Below are 24392 nucleotides of genomic sequence, written 5' to 3'. Positions count from 1 at the left end.
ATCTGAGACTTCTAGCTTCCAGAACTTTGAGACAATAAATTTCTGTTGTTGAAGCCACCAGTTTGTGGTACTTTGTGATGGCAGCCCTAGGAAACTAATGTTAAGTGTCAAATGAATCATAGAAAAATAATTCAGTGCTGAACAAGACCAGTTACTGGAGAGATTTCTGGCATTGTACAATTGATGGGTGACATTAGGAAGATAGACCCATTTTTAGGGTCATAATCACAGTTTTATGCACAGTTTATAATTGCATCGTGTTAAGATAGGATACCAAAGGCCAGCCTGTGAGCACAAGGCATCTTTAGTTCCATGAGTATAATAAGCAAATGTTTCCTCTGCTGAAACTACAGCCCTGCCCTTGTGTGGTGCCTGCACCTTGATTTTTTTTTTTTCAGTCATCTCTATAGCTTTTCTCTCCTTGGAAAGGTTCCATCTGCTTTACAACGATAGTGTTTACTTAGCTGGCTTCCTAGGTTGGAGTAACAGGAGGGAAGAAGAGAAATTATTGTAATTTTTTAGTCTTAAGCTAAATCTTGATATTACTGTCATAACCCTGGCAAGCAGTTTTCCTGTGATAGTGTTATAAGAAATCTCAACCATTAAGTAGCAACCACAATTGTATTCTCATTCCCACTATCTTTTTTTTTCCTTCTTGTTTTGGGTGTTTCTCTGCTGGAGGCAAACTGAGCTCCTGAATCATTAGGATGGACGCGCCATCAACAGAATCTGCTTTTAGTGGAATGGGTCTTCGGATAATCTGTTTTCATCACATCAAGAGCTAAGCCAGTCAGTTAACACAGAGGAAATATTAAAGGCAGTATTTTTTCATTAAGGTAAGGCACCAGATAAACCACGTGCTATTTTTTTCACTTAAACACTAAAGTGAAAACATTCAGCAAAGTCTTATTGAGGAAGAAATAAGAAGAAAATTGATTTAAAAACAAACAGATGCCGCCAATACGATCTCTGGGAGGCTGGGAATCGGGTCCACTTTGGTCTCATCTTTTTCACCTTCTACTGAAGTACTATGCACTTTTTTTTCCATTCATTTCAGCCTGTCTCCCAATATACCATCTGTTCACCTCATCTGAGAAAGCTTACAGACAAAGAAGAAAATAGGGTAACATACAGGAGGCCAAATTATGCTAGATGGTTATATAGAGATCGGATAACACTCGTCCCATTGCTTTTCCACTGTAAACCATTTCAAACTGATAGGACAAGAGTGCCGCCATCTTCAGAACACCCCACCGTCTTAAGCTTTGAGTTTCTATTTGGCCACCTGGCCAGAACCCCGAATGTCACCCCTGCCCATAGCTTCAACAGAGCATAATGGCCCTAACAGAACAGCCAGCACTTCTCCAAACCCTCCCTAATAGAATCTTGCTTCAAAGCACAATTCCCCACCGGGCCCTTTAAAAAAGCCTCAGGCTATAAGAAAAGTTTGCTCCTGACCCTGCTGGCCAGAAGCCCTTTTGAGGTTTACTCTTGAAAACCTGTCTCAACTGTTGAGCCACCCTCTCGCCTCCTCTTTTCTCATTCTTTCTATTCCCACTTCCATGCCAATTTTGTTTTTAGATGTAGATAATACCAACACAGCCAAAGACAGCCAGCCCAGAATAATGATCTCCACATTTCTGAGGACACAGACTTCAGGTTAGAAATTCAACTGAACATGACCAGAGTTTCTCAATGTAATGCAGAGAAAAATAAGTAATGCTGTGCATGCAAAGGTCATAAAATTGTCAGGGATTGTAAAAATGTCTTGGGTATTCAGATTTCCCTCCTACTCTTTTTGGGGGTGGGTGAGGGAGGGATGCTAACTGTAATAGCAAGAGACCATTGCACAAATGTGGCTATCAAGCTGTGGTAGAAACGACTGGTCCTTTTCATTCCTCTATTTCAGTGATTTGAGTAGCTACTTCATTCTACTTCTTTCTATTTCCTCATATTTTCATTGTTACTCACCTCACTCTTATCTAAACAGAAGTTTTCATGATCTAATTTCATCTACTGGGGGCAAAATTAATCCATCCTCATTTAGAAACCTCCTTTTATGTATTTTCACAACAGAATGATTTGCTTTATTATCCTAACCTTGAAGGGTTTCATTCCTTTACCACTCACAACCCCTCCCCTCTAAGTCTTTTGGCAAGGCATTTGACATGTTTCTTCCATCCTACAAAACTTGTCATCTATCTGTGAATTTAGCCATAAATAAGTCAAGGAAAGGATCTTTTCTTAGATGCCTAATGACTGGAATTATGCCTTTTGGAGACACATTTACATTTCCAATCATAATGACATCACATTGAATATTCATCTTTGTTTTTTCATCAGCTATCAATGCAGTCTTTTGATGCACGGCTGGGGTCTAGCCTCTGGTTTTTATTATCAAGCAGTAATTGAGACTTTCACATCCTCCTTGAACTATTCTGTACCTACTTTTACAAATTCCTTTTTTTTCCGACATCTAATCTTTAATTTAGGCTGATCAAATTGCCTTGTCACAAATACCTTTTAAAAATATTACCTATCTTTTTGTTATACTTTGCACATTCGATCAATGCTTTAAAAAAAAATCTCCCTTTAGAGTTTCTTGTAAATGCATAAAATAGCATCAGGCATGGGAGACAGACTTCTCAATCTCCATGATTTATTTGTGAAATGTCCTGGAGTAGAGGAATCCATAATTGTCCTGAAACAGTGTATTGAAGTAAAGAGCATGCAGGGAGACATTTAGCAAACAGTAATGACAATTATAAAAACAAAGAGAGGAGAAGAGAGAGGCATCCCCTGAGGCTGGGAATTAATTGAAAGTGGGAAGTCATCAGAATGGACAGGTTAGCCCTTCACGGCCCCCAACTTCCATCATGGACAAATCTCTCCTTTCTGACAGTGAAGTCAAGGCAGAGAGAGGCAAGAATAGCAGGCGGTTTTTTTTGTTTTGTTTTGTTTTTTTGTCAGAATGTCTTGTTTTTGGTTAAAAAAAACAAAGAAAACTGCTAACACATTTGGTGCTGCTTGTTCATAAGGAAAGTGGCTGTGTAACATTTAGATATCTTTTGAAATCTATACACGCTCTTCCTACCTGCCGTGCTCAATTTCAGAACCCAGAGCTGTCATTAAGAAAAAAATAGCAACCTTTGTTCTCTTCTCCAGGCACATGTTGCACCAGTTTTTTGTTTCCAGGAAAAAAAAGTCTCCATTATTTTCTTAGACCAGAGAAGCCAGACTCAAGCTTTCCCTTTCTCTGACCCTTGTTGTGCACTGGTACTGGACACACCATTACTGTGGTTCAGTGGGCAAGATTTTCTTTCATGTATTTTGAAGTCCCTCATGAAGACATCAGGCCACTTACTGTAACTGATGGTTTTCATTCTCAGTGTAATAAAGGCACATTCCTGAAGCAGACATTTCCATCAGAGATGGCAAACAACAGAAGTTTCAAAGGCTTAGTTCAGACGCACATCTAAACTTTCAAAGCTTAGCTGCATCTCTGGGATTTGAAAACTGGATTGGAAATCTGAATTGTATATATTTTATACTTCTTAACTTAGCCTGAATTTTATACACTTAGTTTTTATGTCTTTAAACATATCAGAGAGACCAGCATTATGAAAAAATGTACATATTATACAAATAAGAAATAAAAATCAAGCTTTGTGTGCTTATTGAGATGTGATAAGCATTTTGGTTGTGGAATGTGAAATTTTGTTTTTTCTTCTTTTGCTTGTTGTTCAGTGCAGGAGTAATTTAGATGCATAGAGATCATCTTTCAACATCTTAGATGTATGAAAGATGACACAAGTTTTGTCAGAGGCATTTGAACCGGAGCAACTCCATCTTGAATAGGGGCTAGGTAAAATGAGGCTGAGACATACTGGGTTGCACTCCCAGATGGTTAAGGCATTCTAAGTCATAGGATGAGATAGGAGGATATCACAAGATACAGGTCATAAAGACCTTGCTGATAAAATAGGTTGTAGTAAAGAAGGCAGCCAAAACCCACAAAAACCAAGATGGCCACAAGAGTGACCTCTGGTCGTCCTCACTGCTACACTCCCACCAGTGCTATGACAGTTTACAAATGCCAGGGCAACATCGGGAAGTTACCCTATGTGGACTACAAAGGGGAGGCATGAATAATCCACCCCTTGTTTAGCATATAATCAAGAACTAACCATAAAAATGGGAAACCAGCAGCCCTCGGGGTTTACTTTTATTCCTTTACTTTCTTAATAAACTTGCTTTCACTTTATGGACTGGCCCTGAATTATTTCTTGTGCAAGATCCAAGAACCCTCTCTTGGGGTCTGGATCTCGACCTCTTTCTGATAACAGTTTCATCTGTCTGCAAACTAAATACAGGGCTGAAAACCATGTAAGGTCCCACCCTGGGTCAACAAAACAGAAGGGCCTTGTTGTTCCACCACGAAATCTGTAGGCCCACCTGCATGTGCCTCGTCTTCCCCTCTTTCGTTTTACTGTGGGACTATTGTTTCTCTTCCTATGTTCTGCATCTCAGGTCCTACCACCTTCTCAAGAACTCTACTAGTATATACTAAAAATACGCTCCACAATCCCATTTCTCTCATCAGCTACCATCCAGTCTTTCCCTTCCTTTTATATCCAAATTTTGTAACTTAGCTATATTTCTTATCTCAATTTCATTACCTCCCACAACATATTGTTTTTTGTGTCAAGATGATGTTTCTTTTTGTTCCTTATGGTTTATATTTCTCTTGAATTCTATTTCATCACATACGAAACTTGCTAGCTTTCATAATTGCTAGGTGTATCTTTCACATCCTTTTATTTTCAACTTTTCTATGTTCTTTTTATAAAAGTACATCTCTTATAGACAGTGTATTACTGGATTTTATTTTTAAATCCAATCTGAGAGTCACTGTTTCAGAATGAGCTTAACATATTTGTGTTTATTTAATTATAATTATAATGTTTATTTCTTATGACTTTACTTCATATTTTATATTAACTATATGTTATTATTTTCTCCATTCCTGAAGCCTGCCACTGGATAGTTCCGCTTTCATTCTTTTGGGTTGAAAGTTTATACATTTCATTTTGTCATTCTGACATTTGTGCCTATGTAAGATTTATCTTAATTTCTTAATTGTATCATTCACTCTATCTATCTACCTATCTATCTATCAATCAATCATATCTCTGTCCCCAAGCAGGATAAGTGCTTTAGCACATTATCATCTTCTTTGTCGTCTCCGTTAACTCCAATTCCCAGATGTTATCATGTAAAATGCAAGTTCTGGGTTATGCACATTCTTTTTCTTTTCTTTTTTTGTTCATTTGTGTTGTATTTTTTATTTTTCTGATTTGATCCTTTCTGTTTAAAACAATATATTTTCTAAGTTACTTGATCCCTTTGAGCCCCATGTCTCTTATAGCATCTTTTTAAATTTATTTCTCTTCTTATTCATGTAGTTCCTCAAGAGTATTTTCAGGCCGGGCACGGTGGCTCACGCCTGTTATCCCAGCACTTTGGGAGCCCAAGGGAGATGGATCACCTCAGGTTAGGAGTTCCAGCCTGGCCAACATAGTGAAACCCTGTCCCTAATAAAAATACAAAAGTTAGCTGGGCATGGTGGCAGGCACCAGTAATCCCAGCTACTCAGGAGGCTGAGGCATGAGAATCACTTGAACCCAGGAGGTTGAGGTTGCAGTGAGTTGAGATCGTGGCCCTGGGTGACAGAAAAAAAAAAAAAAAAAAGGAATGTTTTCGAAGAAAGTTTTTATGTAGCAATGTTTGAAGCTTTATGCCTGATATGCCTGATAACTTTTTTATTTATTCTTGCATTTAAATGATAGTCAGGCTAAATATTAATTCTAGGTTCAAAGTTCTTTCTCATTAATATTTTTAAAATATTTGTTCATTGTCCTCTCATATTCAGTGTTGCTGTCGAGAAGTCAGGTATCCATCCAATTCTTGTTCTTTTCGAAGTGATCTACTCTTTCTGGAAGCTTTTAGGTATTACTAAACTTAACTCTAAAGTGAGAGTGTCAAATTTTATTGTAATGAGGCTAGTTATGGGTATATCTTTATCCTGTTTGAAATTCTATGGAAACTTCCAATTTGAGATTTCCATCTTTATTTCTGACAGGTTTATCACTGTCTATTTTCTCCCTCTTGTTTGTGTTTTTCTTTATCGTTCTTCCTTTTGAGACTTCTTTAAATTGGCTATTGGTATTTCTACTTCTATCTTCTATATCCCTTTAACATAAAAAACCATCCATTTTGCATCTCTCTGCTGTCTTCTAGGGTTAGTTCTTCAATCTGATCATTTGGCACCAATTGTAATCATAATGCTATTTAGCTCATCTATTGTCTTTCTAATTTTATCTATTAATTTTTTCATATTTAATATTTTTATGTTCATCTTTATGACTTCTTGTCATAAATTTCTCTATTTTATACATCAATTTGGACATGACTTCAGTATGTCATTGTCCAAACTGATTACCAATTGATTACCAAAATTGTTCCTTATCTTTTTGAAGATAAAAATGATGTTTCGTTTAAATTACTGATCGTCCTGTTTTATTATTTTATTTGTTACGGAAGCATCTACTCACTATACTATTTTTCCTTTTTATATTGGCTATACTCTTCCAGTGTTTAATTATTTTTGTTCATGAACTTTTCCTTCCTTCCTCTGGTGACATCAGCTAATCTTCTGAGTAACGTGTCTCAGTATATGTCATTGTTGGTATAGTCCAAGCCCTAGCCTGTGTCTCTCCTTTTAAGGATAAGAAGGAAGGAATGGATATACTTCCAGAGAAAGAGCTTTAGGTAGTAAGAACTCATATTGGGTACTATCTTACTTAGCAACCATGTCTTTCATAAAATGCCTTATAGGAAAAAAGAGCACACTGTTAGGTGGTCAACTCCTTTGATTGTAATCGGCTAGCACAGATGATATGGAGGAGGATATGACAATGCTGGATGTCCTACAGATAACTTTTACCATCAGTTCCTCACCTGAAGCAGTCAGAAATGATGTAAGTCCCCCTCCACTCCAGCACTAAATGATTTGAACTGCTGCTGCTGTTGCTGGCTCTTTCACAGAAGTGATGGAGCTGGGACCCACTCCAGGTCATATGCAATATAAAAAGGAACAGAACTCAAAAGCTTGCCTGCAATCTATTTTCCTCAGCTACCAGAGTATCTCTGGGTTCTAGGTGGGCATTTCTTCCATATACTTCATTCTTAATGCCATCTGGCCCTCAGGCATTTCTCGCATATTCTGTGGTTAATTTATAGTATCCTCTTTATCTCTTTGTTTTGTTCCTACTGTTATATGCTTCCATCGAACTTATCCCATGTCCTTAGGCACCACTGCATCACTACTACCATAAAGTAGGTAATCCATAAATTATTGGCAAATAAATAAAAGGTAAAAATTGGCAGTATCTGGTATGACCATGGGAAATGACTGGGCAACACTTAGGGTTAGCATATTCCATTTCTTGTCAAGTCCAAATCATAATTGCTGTCTAACTCTACAGATGAGGAAGCTGAAGTCTTGTTAAGTCTTCCATGGCCAGAGATGACATTGCAATTTATCATTACTGCATTATTTTCTAATGAGGATAAAAATTCAAATAACAGCCATTCATGTGCCACGTGTGCTTTTCTTTCATCTCTATCAGTTTTTTCTTCCTATATTTTGAAGCTTTGTTGTTGGTGAATACATATTTAGTGTTTACAAGTCTTCATGGTGGGTTAATCTTTTCATTATTATATATATTCCTTGCTCCTACTAATTTCCTTCACTCTAAAATCGACTTTATCTAATATTAATATAGACACTCCTGCTGCTTTTTTATTACTTTGCGTGATATATTGTTTTTTATTCTTTTACTTTCAAATAACCCATGTATTCACTTTGAAGTGAATTTCACATAGGCAGGGTATAGTTGGGTCATGTTTTAAAAATCTGCATTATTTTTTATCCCATATGAATAAAAAAAAACACTACCCAACTTTGTTTTCATTGGCATATTAGATCATGCACATTTAAAGTAATTATTGATATTTTAGGATTTCAGTATGTCATTTTATTATTTATTTTCTGTTTATTCATTCTGAATCTTGTTCCTCTGCCTTCTAGTGAATTACTTGAAAATTTTTTGACTTACATTTTGATATGTGGTGCTTTTGTATATATTTGTTTTTATAGTTTTTTAGAGGTTGCTCTAAGTATTACAATATACATATGTAACACATCACAGTAAACTGGTATTTTGCCACTACAAGCAAAGTGTGCAACCTTACTTTCATGTAGGTCTTTTTACCTTCCCTGCTTAAAAAATATGTCTTAAGTATTTTTTATACATATATAAGTACCACATCAAATGTTACAATTTTTTCTTCAATTATTAAACATAATTTGAAAAATCTCATGAGGAGAAGGGTAGTTTATTGTATTTACATCTATTTTGTCTATTTCATTGTTATTTCTTTCCCAAGTCACAGTCTCCATCTGTTATTTTCTGTTTAGAGAAATTCCTTTAGCCACTCTTTAAGGGCAAGCCTGCTGGCAACACATGCTCTTTGTTTTCCTTTCTCTGAAAATGCCTTGATTTTCCCTTCATCTCTGAAGGATATTTTTGCTGGGTATAGCATTTATGGTTACTTGTTATTTTCTTTCAGCACTTGAAAAATGCTGTGCCAATTCTTTCCAGAGGAATCAGAGTACCAACTATTCTGTTCTCTTTCCATCTTGGAGTAGGGGATGAAGCTCAACTCCTCATTGTGCCTGGCTGACTCTGCTGAAAAAGAGTATAGTGCAAATTATCTCCATCTTATGCTACCTTGTTCCCTTTCATTGATACTAGGTGAGAATGAAGGCTCAGCTGCCCCTTGAACCTCTGTGAAACTACCCTGGCAAAGGAATTAGAGCACCACCTGTTTCCACTGAGTAACCATGGGCATTCTTCTGCTCCTGGCCTGCCTAGCTGCCTTATGATAAATTTGCTGCAGATTAGTACATTGACCTGAGAGTAATAGAAGAAGTGAAACAATACTTTACAGACCTAATTAGGGAAGACTGAACTAAATAGATAAAACAGCAACAAATTAACTTCCCTTGTTTCTCTCTCTTTTAGAGCTAGATTTAGGCAAAGTGACTAAGTAAGTGAAATTTGACTGTAACGTGTCTTCCCTATTTACTGCCTTTTACTGTTTTCTCACGTGCCACAGGACACTCAGCTGTCTTCTGGATGTGCCACACATTTCTCCAAAGATCTCAGTCAAAATTTAGCTGCTCTTCTCAGTCCAAGCCTTTCTGCACTGTTGATTGTTTTTTAACCACATCATGGATAAAATAATCAAAATCAAAATAGATAAGTTTTTTTACATGTAAATTTTTCTCTTTAGGGCTTCATTCCTTCAGGTCCTTGCTAAATGAATGACCAGCAATAAATTAAAAAGTTAAAGGAAAAAAAAATTTTTTTCTTTTTCTTTCTTTTTTTTAATTTTTTTATTTTTGAGACAGGGTCTCACTCTATCACCCAAGGTGGAGTGCAGTGGTCCAATCACGGCTCACTGCAGCCTCAACCTCATGATCTCAAGCGATCATCCCACCTGACTACAGGCACACATCACCATGCCTGGCTAATTTTTAAGAAAAAATTTTATAGAGATGGGGTCTTGCCATGTTGCCAAGGCTGATCTCAAACTCCTGGGCTCAAGTGATCCTCCTGCCTCGGTCTCCCAAAGTGCTGAAATTACAGGCGTAAGCCACTGTGGCCAGCCCAGGAAGAACATTTTTGATTCCTACATTGTTATCCTTGCTAGGGAATAACTGGAAAGGAGTATGGAATGGAGTTAGAAAATTTTTAAATTTTTTCTATATAATTGCATTTAAACAGAAGCCTTAAGAACTTTAAGTAGGATCATTAACATTTTGGGAACATTTTCTTTCTTTCTTTTTTTTTTTTTTTGAGATGAAGTCTCGTTCTGTCACCCAGACTGGAGTGCAGTGGCGCGATCTCAGCTCACTGCAACCTCTGCCTCCTGGGTTCACGCAATTCTCCTGCCTCAGCCTCTCGAGTAGCTGGGATTACAGGCACACACCACCATGCCCGGCTAACTTTTTTTGTATTTTTAGTAGTGACGGGGTTTCACTGTGTTGGCCAGACTGGTCTTGAACTCCTGACCTCGTGAGCTGCCTGCTTTGGCCTCCCAAAGTGCTGGGATTACAGGCGTGAGCCACCGCGCCTGGCTGTCCGTTTTGGGAACATTTAAGGCACAGAGTTGAGGCAGAAGCAGAGGCACTTGGGATAAAAGATCTTCAGAAATACTTAAATAACATTTTTTACTAACAGGTGGACTGGCCCACCTCTCCTTAATTTTCACAGAAAATCAAGAGCTATCTTCTGGGTGTTTAAACAGCATGCATGATTACTACACTTCTGTATCTTATTGATTTGATCTTGTTTCTCAACTGTCAGAGCTCTTGAATAAAAGCAGTTGCTTTCCGAAGAGTGTCATTTCATCTTCCAGTCTGGATTTTTGGATGAATTATTTTAGGTTTTGTGGCTGTTATAGTCTATCGTTGCTGTTTGATTTTCAAAATTTATGATTTGAGTTCCACAGGACAAAAATTTAAGATTTTCAAAGGGAATAAGTCCCTGATACATTAGGGTTATGTAACTTTTTTCTCCCATCAGGATGGATGCCTGATTTTTCTTTTATTGTATTTCTATGGAAGCAGCATATTGTGGAGTTAAATGCTCATTAGAAGTTGGTATTGCTCTTTAAAAAACCACAGACTCCTTGAAATGGGTAGATGTAACTTGTAGCTTACTTTGAAATTAACCTTAGAAATTGGTTGGTGAGCACTAGGATATTGACTATAAAAGTCAGAAGAGCTCCTCTTAGCTTTTCTTAGGACAAGAAAATTCAGAGAAAAGAATCTAAAACCAAGACATATAGGTGTAAATTTTTGTAATGCTAAGAATAAATTATGGCATGTGAATATGTTTGGATATTAATAACAAATTGGAAATGTTTCTACTACAATGTTAAGTGAGAAAAAAGAATGTGATATTGTGCATACAGTATATCTTAGCCATATAAAAACATGCGTTGGAGGGAGCTACTTAAAAATGTTAGTTAACAGAATTTATCTTTGAGTGGTGGGATTGTGCATGATATTTTTCTTCTTTCTGAAACATAGATGTCAGCCTAAACCCCCTCAGGTTTTATCGACTAGCCTTTACCACCACCCTGAGCTCCAGACTTATATGTCCAACCCTCTCTTTAGCACCCTTAACTGGTATCTAATAAGCAACTCAAACTTAACATATCTGAAACAAAACTACTGATTTTTCTTTTCATTTCTTTTCTCTCATTTTCCTGTATCTTCACTCAATTACTAAGGTTAAAATATTGAGGAGTTAGGTACACTTACTTTCATCATACTGTTTTTTATATTATAAATATTATGTATATTGTTAATTATATGTCTAATATTTCATAATCTTAAAGAGAAGTCTAAGGACTTTGAAAAATACTCTAGCCAACCTAAAGGAGCTCCTAATAGCCAGAGCTGGAATAATTTGAGCAATTAAATACATAATAATAGAGTGAATCAGCAAGATGGCCAAGGAGAATATCATTATTCTCCTGCAGAAGCATAGATTTTGGCAACTACTTATGGATGAGTCTAGCTCTGTGGGAGTCTGTGAATACAGTGGAAAGCTTTCAGCACATCATTGGACAAATAATTTGAGAATAAATGCTTTGGAGGGTGTAAAAACATAAGTATCACTTATGCAGATTATCCCTCCCCCAAGGCAGTCCAGCTCAGTGCCAAGAGAAATCCCCTAGGATCAAGATTTTTCTCACAAGGGGAGATGATACCATAGTGAGTGTCCAGCTTCCCCAGCTGTGCAGAATGCTGCCAAAGAAGCCCACATTTTTCCTGACCTTACCCAGGTTACTAAGGTAATCAGCACAACTGAGAAGCTGGAAGAGGCTGGGAACAGGTAAGAAAGGTCTTGGACCCTATTAACTGCTCTGTGGCTTCATTAGGAAGCCTGCTTACAAGCAGCTTGGGACAACTTGCCTGTGGGCCCTCCCCTAACTGGTCCACAGAAATTCCAAAAGTTCTGCATGTTTCATTACCTTCAGGCCTGCGTCCTGAGCATGTTCCCTTAGACAGTGTAAGTGTCTTGTGAAGACAGCTGAATCAACTCTGTCAGATTGAGAGAAGGCATATAAACTTCAGCATTTCAGGGCACTGCCCTAGAAAAAACAAACAGTAGCAACTCAGCACCTAGCCTGGCTTTGTGGGATCAAGTGAATGAATGCATACAATCCTGAGACTTTTCCTTAACGAAGGAATAGAATGTGCATAGTGGGCACGTTCACAGAAGTCTGAGAGAGCCTGAGAATCCCTAGATAGGCTGATTGATAAGGGTGTTTCTCTCCTAAAGCCAGTAAATAAAGACTGAAGGAAGTGACTATTTCTTCAAATGTGAAGACAGCAACACAAGACTTCAAGCAACCTAAAAAATCAAGGAAACATGGCACTACCAAAGGATCACAATTAATATTCCAGTAAATAACCTCAAAGAAATAGAGAGCTATGAATTGCCTGACAAATAATTCAAAACAATTGTTTTAAGGAAACTCAGCAAACTACAAAAGAACAGAGATAACACAATCAGAAAACCAATACATGAACAAAATGAGAAGCTCAACAAAGAAATAGAAATCATAAAAAAGAACACAACAGAAATTCTAGAGCTGAAGAATACAATGAGTGAAAAGTTTTTAATGCAACAGAAACTGTCAACAACGTACTTGATCAAGAAGAAAAAAAAATCTGTGAACTCAAAGACAGGTTATTCAGAGTTATACAGAAGAGAAAAATAAACAATCAAAAAGTGAATAAAGCCTATGGAATTTATGGGACATCAGTATGAGAGCTAGCATTTGTATTATGGGAATTTGAGAGAGGGAGAAAAAAGAGAAATGAGAAGGAAGCTTATTTAAAGAAATAGTGATTGAAAACTTCCCAAACCTGGGGAGAGACAGGGACTTCCAGGTAAATGAAGCTTGAAGCTTCCAAACAGGTTTAATCCAAAGAAGGTTTCATTGAGACATTACAATAACTTTCAAAAATCAGACAAAGAAAAATTTGAAAACAGCACATACGTGGGAACCTCCATAAGGCTACCAGTGGATTTCCCAGTAGAAACTTTCCAGGACAGAAAAGAGTCAGATGATATATTCAAAGTGCTGAAAGAAAAATAAACACCAACAAAGAATACTTTACCCAGCAAATCTATCCTTCATAAATACCTTACGAGAAATTGTAAAGAAAATTCTTCAGAGTGAAACAAAAGGATTCTAACTAGTAGCATGAAAACATTTGAAAGCATAAAACTCATTGTTAAGGTAAATATATAGTCAAATTTAGAATACTCTAATACTGTAATAGAGGTTTGTAAATACTTTATAACTCCAGTATAAAAGATGAAAGTATTAAAAATAACTATAACTAAAATAATTTTTAATGAATATACAATATACAAAGAGGTAAATTGTGACATCAAAAACATAAAATGGGAGGAATAAAAGTGTAGAGTTTTTGTATGCAATCAAAATTGTTATCAGTTTAAAATGGTCTGTTATAACTATAAGATGTTTTAAGCAAGCCTCAGGGAAAGCACAAAGCAAAAACCTACAGTAGATACACAAAAGTTAAATAGAATCAAAATATATCACTATAGAAATGAATAAACCACACAGAAAGACTGCAAGAGAGGTATAAAGAAACAAAGAATCTATAAAACAACTAAAAAACAGTTAGTATATGGTAGCGATAAATCCTTACCTATCAACAATTAGTTTAAATGTAAACAAATTCTCCCATCAAGTGACATAAAGTGGTTAAATGATCAAAATAAAAATATATGTAGAGAGATATATATCAACCCTCAGCCTCCTGAAGACCTGGGACTAAGGACTGTGCCACCACACCCAGCTAATTTTAAAAAGTCTTTTTTTTTTTTTTTTTTTTTTGGTAGAGAGAGTCTCCCTATGTTCCCAAGGCTGGTCTCAAACTCCTGGCCTCAAGCAATCCTCCCACCATAGCCTCCCAAAGTGTTGGGGTTACAGGCATGACCACCGTGCCTGGCCTATAATTTTTTAGATATGATACCAGAAGCACAGGCATCAAAAGCAAAAATAAACAAGTGGGACTACATCAAACTTAAAAGCTTCTGCATAGCAAAGCAGAAGGCAACCTATAGAATGAGAGAAAATATTTGCAAACCACATGTCCATTAAGGGACCCATACAACCCAATAGCAAAAAAAAAAAAAAAAAAAAAAGACTTGATTTTAAAATGTCCAAAGGACTTGAATAGACATTTTTTGAAAAAGTATATACAAATACCTAACAAGTATATAAAAAAGTGTGAAATATCATTAATCATCAGAGAAAGGCCAATCAAAACCACAATAATTTGTCATTTCACATCTGTTAAAATGGCTATTGCTAAAAAGTAAAGAAATAACAAGTGTTATATTTTGTGTGTGGAGAAAAGAAAACCCTTATACACTATTAGTGGGAATGCAAATTGGTACAACCACTGTGGAAAACTGCATGGAGGTGTCTCACAAAAATTTAAAATAGGGTTACTATATGATCCAGCAATCCCGCTTCTAGGTGTGTAGATACAAAGAAAATACAATCACTGTCCCACAAAGAAAATACAATCACTATCCCAAAGAGATATGTACAACCACATGTTCATTGCAGCATTATTCACCACAGCCAGATATGGGAACAACCTAAGTATCTCTTGAAGGATGAATGGGTAAAGAAGATACAATGGAATATTATTTAGGCTTAAAAAATAATAAAATCCTGCCACATGTGGCAACGTGGATGACCCTAGAGGACACTATGCTAAATGAAAAATCAGGCACAAAAGGACAAATACTACATGCTACCACATGTGGGAGGAATCCAAAAATAGTCTAATTCATTGAAACCAATAATAGATTGATAATTGCCAGGGGATGGGAATTGGGAGAAATGGGAGGATTTTGGTCAGAGGGTGCAAACTCTCTGTTATAATATGAATAAGTCCTGGAGAGCTAATGTAGGAGATGGTGACTATAGTTAATAATAATGCATTGTATACTTGAAATTTGCTAAGAAAGTAGATCTTAAGTAATCTCACCACACACACACACAAACACACACACACACCATATGGTAACTATGTGAGGTGATGGATATGTTAAGTAGCTTGATTGTGGTAATCATTTCACAATGTATACATGTATCAAAACATAATGTTGTACACCTAGAATACACATGATTTTTTTTGTCAGTTATACCTCAATAAATGTGGTGAAAATAATGACAGTATTGGATTTTAACCCCTATAATAAAATAAATATCCATGAATCTATACAGATTTAAAGGAATAATCAAATGAATACATAAACGGGGGGAAAGGAAGAGCTCTTCCTTACAGAATAATTTCAATTAATAAATATAGCAGAAAGTAAGAGAACAGAAAATCACAGGAGACATAGAAAATCACCACAAATTAGTAAACACCACAGTAATAATTTTTGCAGACATAATCCACTGACAGAATCTAAAATTGCTGGGTGAAAATTTGAGGAGAAACAGTATTTGCATAGTCTCAAACTGTCACCCCTAAGATATATTTTAACTACAAAGGGGAGAATAGTGACTTTATAGTAGAGAAAGCCAGAAGACACCACTTTCACCATGTGTTCAAATTCAACATCATGGATATCATATCAATATTGTATCAATATGATGAACCTACGATGTGTGCTGAGAAGGACACAGCAGCATTTGTGCCAGAAACGCACAACCTCATTTCAATTATGGGAAAATATAAACCCCAAATCAAGTAACATCTACAAAAAAAACTGATCAATACTCTTCAAGTGCCATGCACAAGGAAAAACAGGAACTCTCACAGATGGGAGAAGACTAAGGAAAAATAACAATAAAATCAATGTGGAATCCTGGAACAGAAAAAAAGGACATTAGTGGAAAACACTGATGAAATTTGAGTAAGACCTGTAGTGTAGCTAGTAGCATTATACTAGTGTTAATTTCCTAGTTTTGATCATTGTAGTATGTAAGATGTTAATGTTCTGAAAAGCTAGGTGAAATGGGAACTAGAAATATGGGAACTCTAGTATTTTGCAATTATTTTTAATATTGTAAGTCTAAAATAGTTTAAAGTAAAATGTTCTAAAAAGCAATCTATAAAATAATATACTCAAAATATATTCTAACTACAAGTATAGTTGGAAAATTCAGATAATCCATCCATCCATATATATGTACATCCATATATATATTTATATATATTTATATATATATTTATATATATATTTATATATATATTTATATATATATTTATATATATATTTATATATATTTATATATATATTTATATATATTTATTTATATATTTATATATATATTTATATATATTTATATTTATATATTTATATATATATTTATATATATATACTGACACACACATAGACACTTAGACACACACACACAATGTTGTATACTAAAATGTCTACAATTCTGGAATTATGAGTAATTTATTTTTCTCTTTAAATTTTTCTGCATTATTTAAATTTTCTGCAGTGAACATATGTTGCTCTTAAAATTATAATTTAAATCACAAATTATTTCTTTAAAAAAATAAGCAAACAAACCTAGGTGTCATTTTTATCCTTTTCTTTCTCTCATATCTCATATCTAATCCATCTGCAAGTCTTGTCAATTTCTCATTCAGAATAAATCCACTCCCACCACCTTCTCTGCCTTTACCCTAATCCATGCCAGCCTCATCATTTTATCATCTCATCTGGTTCTCCTGCTTCCACCCATGTCACCTAAGCCTCTTCTCCACACAATACCAGTTATCTTCTGAAACAGGAAATCAAATCCTGTTGCTTCTCTCCTCAAATGTCTCCATTACTCTCAGAATAAAACCCAATGGCTGTATTCTTCCCAGGAGGCCCTCACGACCTGGCCCCTGCCTCTCTGGCCTTGTCTCCCATCACTCTCCCCTCCCCGCGTCAGTCAGGCACAATGTCTGGCAGACTTTCCTCTACACACATTAGGTGGTTTCTGCCACAGGGCCTTTGTACTTGCCGTCCATGCCTAAAATACTTCCCCAAACAGGCATTCACTCTCACTCCTATCAATCTCTACTCTCTTATCCTACCTTATTTTTCCTCATAGCAGCTGTGAAAATAGAACATTAGATCATAGTTATTGTCTGTCTCTGCTTATGATCTGACTCACAGAAATTAAGATCCTTTGTTTACATTCCTTACTTCCTGCTACTCAGAACGATGCCTAGCACATAGTAGATGATCAGTAAGTATTGAACAAATAAACTGCCCTCCTGCCCAACGCACAGCCTGCAGGAGAGCAAAGCCATCCCCACCAGTTTCTGCAGGTTTTCCAGGAAGGGATTGGGGCAGGACTGGGGCAGGGGGTGCTCTCATCTGGCACCTGGTTTACAGCGTGGCAATTCTTCCATGTCCTAGGGCTCTTTACCCATTTCCTCAAAAGCTACAATTAAAAAAAAATCATTTATAGAAAATATTGGTGGGTTTAGCTGACTTTAGTGAAGATTTCCTGGAGAAAGTGGAGGGGAAAGGGAGATAACTTGGGACAAACAAGAGTCGTGGTCATTCTCAAAGAGCTGTGTTCTCCTCGCCACCATGAAGTTTCTTGCGTCCTTGCAGCTTTCCATCTCGCTGGCTTTCCTCCCTTATTCCCCACTTGTCTCTCTTCTGCCACTTTCTTCCTTCCCTTAGAAGTAAAACATCCCTCCCCTTGCCTCACAAAGAGTAGCTTTCCCTCCCTTCAAAGCCATGGTGCCTGCCAACACCCAGTTCCTGGGGTGAGGGTAGAGAGCACCTTCTGTTACAAACATCTCTCAGAGCAACTTTCCAAAGACTGTTCTCTCCCTGAGAATCCTAGTGCCAGTTGTTAATATTTTCTCTACCTCATTACCTCTACTTTTCCGTATTTTTCTATTACAGCAAGAAACTCAGGTTAAAGAAATTATTCTGCCAGATATCCAGGCACAAAAGAAAGTAAGGCGGGCCTCAGATCTTACTTCTATAAAAATTAATACTTGCAGAAAATGAGAATGTCTGTTTCTCTTTTTCTGCACCAAATTGAATCTTTTTCATTTTCTGAGTCTTTGTTAATTTAGTACAGGAAAAAAAAAATGGTATCTTTCTTTAAACTGTTTTTATTCTATCACTTACCTATATTCATTTTAAACATCTTTATACAATTAGTTGAATCTTCTCCCTCAAAAAGTGGACAATAGAAAAACTTGACTATATCCCTGTTACTTGCCTCTTTCATCTCTACCATAGTCATTTCATAAATACCTTGTTTTAATTCTAAGACACAAGTTTTTACATTTCACATCTTACTGCTGATAGTGTGCGGTTTTTACTGCTCATGTTGAGTTTGTGGTTTTTAAATGTATTTTAAAAGATTACAGCATAATTTGACATTGAAATAAAAAGATTTTGTATACAGAGAAATGAATAGAAACAAAACAGTGGGGCATAAATTTGATATTGATAAAGCAAATATTCACTGCTGGAGAAATAACCATAATTCCATCCATTTTCAAAGCAACCAGCAAGCACTTTATGGAACTTAAGAAAGGAAGACCCCACAAGTGGACGAAGCTGAGTTATGTTCTGCTCCCCCCACCCAGATACATACAACAGGACTGCCTATCACATGCCAACCAGTGCAACTGAAGGAGGTATTGCCAAGTCCCCTGGAATACATGGGGAAAAAAGTCAAAGTCAAAAGATGACAAATGCACAATGTTAAGGCATAGTTTAATTTTTAATTGGCAGCATTTTTTTCTTTCTTAATAGAGGGCCTTACAATTGACAGAATCTTGGATTTGAGGAAACACTTAATAGTTTTGTGTGTGTGTGTGTGTGTGTGTGTGTGTGTGTGTGTGTTTTGAGATGAAGTCTTGCTCTGTTGCCCGGGCTGGAGTGCAGTGGCGCGATCTCTGCTCTCTGCAGCCTCTGCCTTCCAGGCTCCAGCAATTCTCCTACCTCAGCCTCCCAGGTAGCTGGGATTACAGGTGCACGCCACCACGCCTGAACACCATGCCAAAACTGGGGCTCAGAGACTTCAAGTGATTTGCCCAAGTAACATAGCCTATAAGTAACAGAGTGTGAGTCTTGTGGTCTTACCTTGAAAAAGTGTGAAAACTCTATTCTCTGCAAGCTTTGTGATATACCAGATTCAGTTCATGGGCTCTCTGAACCTTAAAAGAAAAAGGGTGCCTGTACATTTCTCCAGACTGAGCCTACCTTCTCTGTCCCTGTGTGGAAAGAAGCTGATTTAGTAAGGTGCTTTGGTTTGTAATATAGAGGAATCCCAATTCAAAACTGGTTCCAGCAAGAAGAAGATGTATTGTCGCACAGGAAATCTAGAAGTAGGATAGACTTCAGGGTTGATTGATTCAATGTCTCAATTACATCAACAAAGACCCAGGTTATTTTCATGTCCCCATTCTGTTATTCTCAGTATTGGCTTCATCTGCAAATTGCCAGTGAATTAACTACAGCCATATTAGGCATAATATCCAGATATGACAGCACACAGAGAAAAAGAGAGAAAGTTCCTCCCTCTGGCTCTCTGTCAGGAAGAAAGAAATTCTTCCTGGAAGTCCCTCAGCATGACTTCCCTTTTGTCTTGTTAGTCAGAATTAGGACACAGCTCATTCTTGAACAAAAAATAGGTAAGAAAGATGGAATTACCCTTATACCAAGTAAGGTGATACCTGGAGTTAGAGGTAGAGTCATCTTTCCCCAAGTCACAACCAACCTCTTTAGGCCATGAAAACAAAATAGTCACAGATGCTATTTATCAAAGAAAGATTTACTTAGGAGGCATGCTATTAGAAATGTACTTACTTTTTAAAAATGGTACATGTATAATTATTTACTCTAGTGTTTTGTTCCAACCAATAATTAGAAAATCAGGTTCATCTTATAATATACCTGGAATTACACACACACACACACACACACACAAAATTATAAAAACATATCGTAGCTCCCTCTGTTTTTATCTTCTGCAATATTACTGCAATGAGTTTACATCCCTTGAAACTCCAGGCACTTAATCCTTTATAATCACAATGGAAATAGCAGAAAAGAACAAAAGTTAGGTTTGTAAAACAAGGGATAAAACCAAGAAGACCTTGGTTGGTTGATAGCTGAATGACAAGATTGTATGTGGCAGTTGCACTATTAGATCTGAAGTGAAATCATGAGCAGTTTACAGAAAAGTCCTTGTTTTCTTTCAGAAGCCATTTAACAAGTAGCAAATAAGAATGAAGTTGAACTATGATAGGATAAAATACTTCTCTGCAAGGAAAAAAAGAGACTATGCAATCATTATCCCAAGAAACAAAATAGGAAAGGACAAGCTTAAAGTGTGACTTTGTTCTGGAAAGCATTTGTAAGTAAATGCATTCACAATTAAATAAAAACCATATGTGCTATTACCTATGGAATATTGTGCTCTGAGTCTAATACTGAAAAAAATAGTAATTTTGCTAATATAAAGAACATGTATGTGACTACTGTCTTCAGTTCACACTAAGTGCTAGAAATTGGGCAAGTGGAAAACAGCATATTCATATTTTAGATTATTAAGGAGAGTACTTACAAAACTTCACGAACATGAACTTCAGAAAGTAGTCTTCTCTGTTTAATAAAAAAAAAGCCTTAAAGAACCACCTAATAGAAAAAAAGCCAAAGAATATAGTAGACAATTCACAAAAGACAAAATATAAAGGCTAATAAACATTTGCAAAGATATTCAACCTCAGTAGCACAGAAATGCACAACAGAAGAAAACACTTTCCATATTACCCACCATATTGGCAAAAGTTAGGGACAAGATCCACTGTTGTTAAAGAAAAGAAAGAAGACACTTTTGCATGATTGATGAGTGTAAATCGGTATAGTTTTGTGAGACAGGTTGTTAGTGTATCTGAAATCTTTCATGTACCACTTCAGATCTCCTTGACAACACTTGTGTCTTATTCCAGTCATGACTACAGTGATTTAATGTGGACTTAGGTGGGCTTCACACAAAAACAAGTGGATTTATCTCCTGCCCCACCCCCAGGCTTCTTGGATGACCCACAATGAAGGACTCCAAAGGAACGTGCTCAAGGGCCGACACATGTGCAAACCAGAGTGCTGGAGAATGAACAACTCATGGGCAAACATTTGACAAGTGGGAGACAGACCTGATGGATAAAGGCTTCTCCCTTTCCCACTCTCCCCTCCTCACCACAATGGATGGTCCTGAAATACATTTCATATGGCTTCTCTGACAGTCTTGAGACATATTTCCTTTGGCTTCACGGAAGTTTCTGTGGGATTAAGCAACCAGCCAACTAAAAGCAGCAGCCATCCTTGCCTGAGCCTGGACGTGGGAGCCTGGCTGGGAGCTCACCCATGGCCCCTCCTTGCGTTGTCAATTTATTAACCAATAACCAGCAAAATAACCAATTAAAGACTATGAAAACTTTATTTAAAAAAATAGCAATAAAATAAAATAAAAGCAGCAGCCAGCTCAATAAGGCATTTTAGTATTGGCTCTCCCTCCTTACCCCCTTCACTCTTATCTCTCATTCCCTCTCCCTGGGATCATGCTCCTCAGAAAGTACTAATGCATAAGCCCTCATCACAAGCCCTGTGGAAACAGGGCTAAGGCAGGTAATAGCTGACATGCTTTAAAGTGCATGTGCCCGGCCTGGCCATCTCACTCTCTGAAATCTATCCTGCAGACAAGCTTGCTAAAGTGTTTCAGAAACACATGTACAAGGATGTTCACCTGAAGTATTTTATGTAATAGGTAGAGAGGATCACACTACTATAGTATTAAATGAAAAGAAGGCTGGGCACTGTGGCTCATGCCTATAATCCCAGGACTTTGGGAGCCTAAGGCAGGTGGGTCACCTGAGGTCAGGAGTTCGAGACCAGCCTGGCCAACAAGGTGAAACCCCGTCTCTACTAATAATACAAAAATTAGCCAGGCTTGGTGGTGCACGTCTGTAATTCCAGCTCCTAGGGAGGCTGAGGCAGGATAATCGCTTGAACCTGGGAGGTGGAGGCTACAGTGAGCCGAGGTCATGCCATTGCACTCCAATCTGGGCGACAAGAGTGAAACTCCGTCAAAAGAAAGAAAGAAAGAGACAAAGAGAGTTAGAAAGAAAGAAAGAGAGAGAGAGAGAAAGGAAGGAAGGAAGAAAAAGAAAGAAAAAGAAAGAAAGAGAAAGAAAGAAAGAGAAAGAAAGAAAGAAAGAAAGAAAGAAAGAAAGAAAGAAAAAGAAAGAAAGAAAGAAAGAAAGAAAGAAAGAAAGAAAGAAAGAAAGAAAGAAAGAAAGAAAGGAAGGAAAGAAAGAGCAAGTTACTATAGCGGTAGGGGAGATGTTGTAGAAATATATATAAACCTCCTTACACCGCGGAGACCGCGTCAGCCCAGCGAGCACAGAACCTTGTCCTTGCCGCTGCGCCTTGCGTCCGCACCCGCCGCCAGCTCACCATGGATGATGCTATCACCGCGCTCGTCGTCGTCGACAACTGCTCCAGCATGCGCAAGGCTCCCCAGGCCGTCTTCCCCTCCATTGTGGGGCACCCTAGGCACCAGGGAGTGATGGTGGGCATGGGTCAGAAGGACTCCTATGTGGGCAAGGAGGCCCAGAGCAAGAGAGGCATCCTGACTCTGAAGTACCCCATCAAGCATGGCAACGTCACGAACTGGGACAACATGGAGAAGATCTGGCACCACACCTACAACGAGGTGCGTGTGACTGCTGAGGAGCACCCCGTGCTGCTGACTGAGGCCCCCCTGAACCCCAAGCTCAACCATGAGAAGACGACCCAGTTCATCATGTTTGAGACCTTCAACACCCCAGCCATGGATGTGGCCATCCAGGCCGTGCTGTCCCTGTATGCCTCTGGAGGTACCACTGGCATCGTGATGCACCCCGGTGACAGGGTCACCCACACTCTGTCCATCTAGGAGGGGTACGCCCTCCCCACGCCATCCTGCGTCTGGACCTGGCTGGCGGGGACCTGACTAACTACCTCAAGAAGACCCTCACCCAGCACAGCTACAGCTTCACCACCACGCTGAGCAGGAAATCATGTGTGACATCAAGGAGAAGCTGTGCTACGTCGCCCTGGAATTCGAGCAGGAGATGGCCTCGGCGGCCTCCAGCTCCTCCCTGGAGAAGAGCTATGAGCTGCCAGATGACCAGGTCATCACCATCGACAATGAGCGGTTCCGCTGCCCCGAGGCACTCTTCCAGCCTTCCTTTCTGGGCATGGAATCCTGTGGCATCCATGACACTACCTTCAACTCCATTATGAAGTGTGACGTGGACAACCACAAAGACCTGTACGCCAACACAGTGCTGTCTGGCGGCACCAACATGTACCCTGGCATCACAGACAGGATGCAGAAGGAGATCACCACCCTGGCGCCCAGCACGATGAAGATCAAGATCATTGCTCCTCCCCAGTGCAAGCACTCCGTGTGGATTGGCTACTCCATCCTGGCCTCCACGTCCACCTTCCAGCAGATGTGGATCAGCAAGCAGGAGTAGGACGAGTCCGGCCCCTCCATCGTCCACCACAAATGCTTCTAGGCTGACTGTGACTTAGTTGCATTACACCCTTTCTTGACAAAACCTAACTTGCACAGAAAACACGATGAGATTGGCATGGCTTTATTTGTTTTTGTTTTTGTTTGTTTGTTTGTTTTGGCTTGACTCAGGATTTAAAAACTGGAACGGTGAAGGTGACAGCAGTTGGTTGGAGCGAGCATCCCCCAAAGTTCTGCAATGTGGCCGAGAACTTTGATTGTACATTGTTCTTTTTTTAATGGTCATTCCAAATATCGTGAGATGCATTGTTACAGGAAGTCCCTTGCCTCCTAAAAGCCACCCCACTTCTCTCTAAGGAGAATGGCCCAGTCCTCTCCCGAGTCCACACACGGGAGGTAATAGCATTGCTTTTGGGTAAATTATATAATGCAAAAATCTTTTAATCTTTGCCTTAATACTTTTTTATTTTTTTAATTTTGAATGATCAGCCTTTGTGACTCCCCTTTTTTGTCACCCAACTTGAGATGTATGAAGGCTTTTCATCTCCCTCGGAGTGGGTGGAGGCAGCCAGGGCTTAACTGTACACTAACTTGAGACCAGTTGAATAAAAGTGCATACC

The 24392-nt window shown here is 38.1% G+C and overlaps 1 long non-coding RNA gene and 1 pseudogene across 1 annotated transcript; both read left to right on the top strand.

Annotated features, from left to right (window-relative positions):
- The first annotated feature begins 73 nt into the window (after window positions 1–73).
- Window positions 74–20662, top strand: LOC105377884 (uncharacterized). Its single transcript, XR_942758.3, has 3 exons — window positions 74–836; window positions 18748–18883; window positions 20453–20662. It is a non-coding gene; the product is annotated as an uncharacterized LOC105377884 (long non-coding RNA).
- On the top strand, window positions 22624–24392 carry ACTBP8 (ACTB pseudogene 8; annotated as a pseudogene).

This window comes from Homo sapiens, chromosome 6, assembly GCF_000001405.40.
Source record: "Homo sapiens chromosome 6, GRCh38.p14 Primary Assembly".
Classification (NCBI taxonomy): domain Eukaryota; kingdom Metazoa; phylum Chordata; class Mammalia; order Primates; family Hominidae; genus Homo; species Homo sapiens.
Note: the sequence above shows the minus strand (reverse complement) of the source record. Positions and strands in the feature narration are given on the sequence as shown.